We start from the raw sequence: 6,000 nt of genomic DNA on the forward strand, positions 1-6,000 counted from the left end.
AACCTTGCTCAAAATAAACCAAACCATAGGAGAAGGTCTCCTCAGTAGAAGCAATAATCGTGCTGTAGCTTCTCTGGCCTCTGCCTTTGCTTTCACCAACTGCAACAAGCCTTCATTCTCTCTTCCTCAGTAAAGCTAAGGCAAAAATTCGGTACATCCAGGTGAGAATACTGTGCGTACGGCCAGATAATAATACTGTGATAAGGAGTGGAAAAAGAGGGGCTGTATCTTAGAAATCATTCTAAAAGTAATTATGGAAGAAATGATAGGATGTTCAGGATTTATTTAAAGTAATCTGAGGAAAGGAAGAAGCACAGAGGGGATAGAGCGACCAGGGGTGGATAATTATTGAAACTGGGTGATTTGCATGCATGGTTAAATATGGTATTCTTCCCACTTTGTATACATATTTGAAATTTTCCATAATAAAATGGGAAAAAAGAAAAATCTGATCAATGTAAAAAAAAAAGTCATCCTTCGAAAATAAAACTTTTTTTTCTTTAAAAAACAACAAAAAAAATTCTCAGCTTTTTCTTGGTTTCATGAAAAGAGGCAAGTTCCTGGTAAGAAAATCAAGCTCTGTTCTTGTTCTTAAGAACATTTCCTTTTTTCCTTAGTTATACAGAACCAGTTCTACTGCTAATATTAATCCTTGAAAAGACAAATAAAAAACTGTAGAAATCTAAATCTGAGCCTTCAGAAGCCTGGTTTTTGCATATCAGACTTATTCCAATGACACAAATCCAGATTTCTCCCCTATGAAGGTGCTTTGGATGACATTTCTGTTGCGGCTGCCAAATAAATTCCAGAGGTTTCAGGATCATTTGTCAACACCAAAGACAATATTACCAAGAACTGGTCCTTTCTTCCCAGAGGTCACTCCTCTGATCCATGGGTTTATTACCTAGAGCAACAATTAATCTTGCTGCCTTCAAAATACAAAATATTTTTAGCCAAGATAGTGTCTATTCATGATCCATATCTCTGACCAGGCATCCTTGCCAGGAGGCGGAACAGAAGGTCCACTGGCTGGACATCAAGGGACCTGTCCCTATCCAGGATCTGTCGTTAACCTAGCCTTAGTTCAACTGCAGAGTAAGATTCTTCCCTCCCTGGCCTTCGGCTACTTTACTTCAAAATGGGATTTCACCAGATGATTTCTAATATCTTTCCCCTCTCAAAAATTCCATGATTATAAGAATCTCTAATTCCTCAAAAGGTAATATTTTTAAAAACAGCTTTAGTCCCAAAATGTTACATTTTCTATTACATAATTTTTAATGTGAATATGAATATTGTATGTGGGCAAGTTTTTGTATCCTGTGCATATATATGTATATATAAGTATGTATATGTATGTATTTGTATCACTACTTATACATACACACAAACACACACACACTGATACCATTAGGTGCTTATATGGGACTAATTGCTTCCAACTCAAAGCAGCAAATTTTCAATTCTGCAACAGATGTCGCTGTGTGATTTCTCCTTTCTGTGCTGGATTTTCAGTTAAAAATGCCCAGCATAATGGTCAAAACTATTCTTCCCAAGAAAAACGTACAGCATTTGAATCCTTTGGATTTATTTTGAATTTTCTTCATCTGCTGGTAAATTTCCATTCAAATTATAGCATTGATTAGTTTGGCCCAATTTAAGAGAATCCCCACATTAAAATGCACCTTTTGCTAAAAACAGACACACACACACACACAAAATCATTTCTAAAATGTAAATTCTAAGTGACCAATTAGGCATTAAAATGTCACGTACAGAAATCCCAAGAGAATGAGACAGTTTATATTCATAGCAATCTTATCAATTTTTAAAGCCTAAAAATCATTTAGCAATATAGGCCAAGGAATAATAAAAATTCACTTATGTATGAGACTAAAATGTACCAGGTGTGGGAAAAAGTCACTAAAAACTCCAAGAGCACCATCAATAAGAATACAATTTTTGGATGCTGGTTTTCACAGCATTTCTTTCCAAATAAATAATAAGGCTAATGTTATAATTGCAAGACATCTTACCAATCTGACATTCACTATCAACCACTTCTTGACACATGTCATAGAAAAGTGACATCTCTTTCCCTTCAACCAATATATCCTCCAACAACATCAACCTCAACAGGTAGCTAGCATTGTCTTCTGTTGAAATTTAGAGCTGGAAGAAAGGATTTCACAATCTCTCTGTGGAGACCCAGGAATCCGTTACCTTCTGGGATTTTAGAGAGTGTGGAGAGAGATGAGCAGGCAGTGAGCCGGGGACCAACTCCGATAAGAATATGAAGTCAGGAAGTGAGAGAGGAAACGAAAGTGTCCTGCCTGTTGGCGTCTTCCCTGTCCCACTCCCCTTTACCAGGAGGGCCATTGGGGAAAACTGGATAAAGCATGTACAACATCCATATGAATAAAGCTCTTTGTTCCAGAGAACTGCCTGCTCTTTTATTCCCCCCCTTTTTCGTATTTGTTCATTTCAAAAGATTGCTCAATGGGTCTCTTGTTCCTCCAAAACGTCCCAGGCAAATAATGCAAGCTTGTCTCGTCACACAAGTCACTAAATGAAGCCTTGTGCGTCTCCAGTGACACACTGTAAATATAAAGTGGCATTAATGAGGGATATTTTATCAAATCTATCACAGACAAGTGCAAGTCCCTACTGCGGCTATTCAATCTGATGCAGGGAAAGGCAACAATAACAGGGCGGCACTTTTGTAAAGTCTCTATCCCCGGTTTGCAAGCCCCAACAGGCCAAAGCAAGCAAAAGTCAGCCCCCCTCCTTCCCATCACCACCATAAATCCCCCATCCACCAGCCATCTTCTCTAATCCTGAAAATGATAAGAGGGGGGTGATCAGCTACTGGTTCACTCGGGATCGTAAACAACATCATGCATGCACCTTGAACGTATAACAGGCGTGATTAACACTGTGGAGTGAGCTTAAGCAAACCCATTTTTACTGCATTTCATTAACATCCATTTCATCCAAACATCACAGGAGAAATGAGAGGAGATTTTCTGCGGGGGATGGATGGCTTCAGTTACAGGAGAAAACAGAACCAGGACCCACGCACGATGGTCCTAATTCGCTTTCCCAGCAAGGATGTAAACGAAACAAGCCTAATGAAGTCAGATGCACCAACAGGTTTCTTTAACCCTGGGAGTGGGAACTGGAGGCCTCTGAGAAAGCTTAAACAGAACTGAGGAGGAAAAGTCCCTTGGTGCCCACCTGAAATTTACCCCTGGGGTATGGGACCCCGGAATGAGCCAAGACCTCCTCTCAAACTCACCACGAAATATATATATATGCATTAAGAGAAAAAAATTAAGAAAGTCATCTCATCTCCTCACTACAAATCATACCCAATTACTTTCTAATTTGAACACAATCTGATAACCAGCATACAAACAGGGATGTACACAAGAGCAAGAAGCTGCTTCCATGGTAACTGGCAACAGAATTTTCATGTAGCTTTGACATGCACGGTTGAGTTCCAGACCGCTCCTAAGTCAGCATATATCCCTCGCAGGGAAGGCAACTTCTCACCGCGAGATAGTTACAAATATAGTACCGTTGCTACTACCCGGTGCCTTCAATGAGCAGTCTTGACAGGGGAGGCATAATCTAATCCTACTTCTGCTGCCAAGCGTCATTGCACGACTCCCATTTTTAGTCAAAAAGCAATATCCCCGACCACAGCTTTCCACCGCCCCCCGGCTTTTTTTTTTTTTTTTTTTTTTTTTTTTGCAGCCAATACAAGTCTATTGTTGCCTCTATTATGCGCCAGTTACCGAGCCTTTACTCACGCTCACGTTTAACTGACACTGGCGCTTTTTACAATGCAGCAGCACGAGGGATCTCTTTCAGGAACATTTTATTGAACCCATCCAGTCAGAGGCATCACCTGAAATGAAGTTGTAACCACACCGGCATCGGCTGAACCCAATTATCTCGTAACTCATAAATTAAGAATTCACAGAGGAAAAACACATAAACAACATCCGGAGACAGTGGCATGGAGGAAAAAAACCCTCAGCGCTGGAATTGACGCTGCTGCCAGACGCCCCCCAATAGGTTTCCCAAGCCGAGCTCCTTTGCAAGCCTATTTTGGGGGCAAGCAGCCAACCCGGCGTCCCCCAAATCTCAAGCTAGCACCCCCACACATCCCCCGTCTCCTACAGCGTGTCTCCTGCGGTGTTTACATAACTGTGTGTCCTCTAGCGTGTAAACAAAAGGCACAGCCCAAGCGGAGAGGCGCCCCTGAAGCAGCACCGTGGCCCCAACGCTGTGCCCGCCCGGGCCTGGGGCTCCGCAGGTGGGGGCTGAGCTCTCGGCGTCCTCCGCCACTTGTTGCTCCCGGGTCCTGCAGCTCTGGAGCTGCAAGGAGGGGCTTTGCAGGCTCAGAGCCCTGCTGCATCCCCTCCTGCATCGCCGCTCGCACCCCGCGGCCCCGTGCCACTCGGTCCCGGCGCCCGCCTGGAGCCTGCAGCAGGGGCCAGAGGACGCCGCGCGGCTGCCAAGCGCGGCGAGGTGGCGGGAAGGGAGGCTGGGTGCAGCACAGCCGGCCTCTCCGCTGAGGAAGAGCTCCGGCTCCCTTTTGTTAGCAAAAGCAAACACTGCCCTCTTCTTTCCCGACCGCGCCAACGCGCCCGGCACACGGGCAGCCACACATCGGGCTCCAGCCGAGTGCTCGGTGTCTTCAGGGAAGGCACCGGGCGTGCAGAGCCGCCCCTGGGCAAATTCCCAAGACTGCTCTTCACGCAGGGAGCGCGCGGAGGCCCGCAGGGTGCCCGCCTGGCCGCAGAGGCCGCGACGCCCCCTCCGCCACCCTCGGGCCGCCGAAAGAACGGGCAGCCGGGAAATCCCGTGTCCCCACTCGTGGCAGAGGACGCTGTGGGGCGGGCGGGCTGCGGGCTCCCGGCGCCTTCCCGCAGAGGCGGCGACAGCGGCCGCCCCCCCCGCGGGGCCGGGCCGGGGAACTTTCCCCGCCTGGAGCCGGGCCAAAAAGACCCGCAGCAGAGCCGAGGGGGCGGAGGGCTGCGAACGGCCGGAGGGAAACACGAGAGGCGTGCAGTTTGGGGACAGGGGAGAAAGGCAGAGCGCGTTGGGGGAAGGGGCAGGGGAGATCAGACAAGTCTGGGGATGTCCTGGGGACCGGGGAGAAATCACGCCGCGGGCGGCTGGGAGTCAGCCACCAGGAGGCTTCGGGGATGGAGAACTGGGGGGGCCCTCTGGAGAGGTGGGGGCGAATGGACAGCCCTGGGAGGTGGGAGGACCTGCAAGTTACGGGGAGAACGGCGAGTTTAGAAGGGTCCGGAAGGGTTGAGGTTGTCTTTGAACCATCCCCTTCCCCCATGCTTTACAGCCCCCGGGCCCCCCATTCTCACTCCACTCTGCACCCCGCGCCAAGCCGGGGAGAGAAGGTGTGGGTGCAGCCATCCCTGGGGACTCTCATTCACACTTAGCCGGGCAGGGGAGAAGGGGCTCACAGATGCCCTCAGCCCCTTCCCTCTCAGCCCTGAGTTTCCTCTCCACACTCCCTCCGCTTCGGATGTAGGAAGTGGGGGGAGGTTGTCATGGAAACGTTTCCCCCCTCTGTGGCCAAGGCTACTGGGGTGCCTTCGGAGATTTAGGGGCCAACCGGTCGGTGCCCACACCTACCTGTGGGGATCAGTGCCGCGGCGGAGAAGAGCAACAGCAGAAGCCGGAGCCGGAGCCCGGGAGGCGCCGCCGCCGCCGCTGCCGCCGCACACTGGGATCCGCTCGGCAGCACTACACTCGCCATGTCGGGCACCTGCCTCAGACTGGCGGCGTTGGCTGCCTCCGGAGCCCGAGCGGACAGCTAATGAGATGCTAATGACATGCGCTGGAGGCGGAGTCCGGGCAGACCAATCACAGCGCCGCGAGCCCAACCCGGCTCTCGGAGGGCCTCGCTCCCTCCCCCACCCCGCCCCCTGGCGCTGGCGTTCGGCGGCGCGCCCGCGCCACCTA

The 6,000-nt window shown here is 49.2% G+C and overlaps 1 protein-coding gene across 6 annotated transcripts in view, besides 1 other annotated feature; it reads right to left on the bottom strand.

Annotated features, from left to right (window-relative positions):
• Positions 1-5,815, bottom strand: part of CADM1 (cell adhesion molecule 1) — a 335,180-nt gene extending 329,365 nt beyond the window's left edge. For all 6 annotated transcript variants that reach the window (NM_001098517.2, XM_005271494.4, NM_001301045.2 and 3 more), the window contains exon 1: positions 5,671-5,815. In NM_001098517.2, the coding sequence (NP_001091987.1) occupies positions 5,671-5,794 (124 nt within the window). In that variant the 5' untranslated portion in view covers positions 5,795-5,815. The remainder of the gene's footprint in view (positions 1-5,670) is intronic.
• Positions 5,841-6,000: a silencer, noted in NCBI's record as "silent region_3918". NCBI's record gives its function as "represses an Ori minimal core promoter by ATAC-STARR-seq in GM12878 lymphoblastoid cells {active_cell/tissue: GM12878}" and the evidence as "EXISTENCE:reporter gene assay evidence [ECO:0000049][PMID:35858748]".

This window comes from Homo sapiens, chromosome 11, assembly GCF_000001405.40.
Source record: "Homo sapiens chromosome 11, GRCh38.p14 Primary Assembly".
NCBI classification, from domain to species: domain Eukaryota; kingdom Metazoa; phylum Chordata; class Mammalia; order Primates; family Hominidae; genus Homo; species Homo sapiens.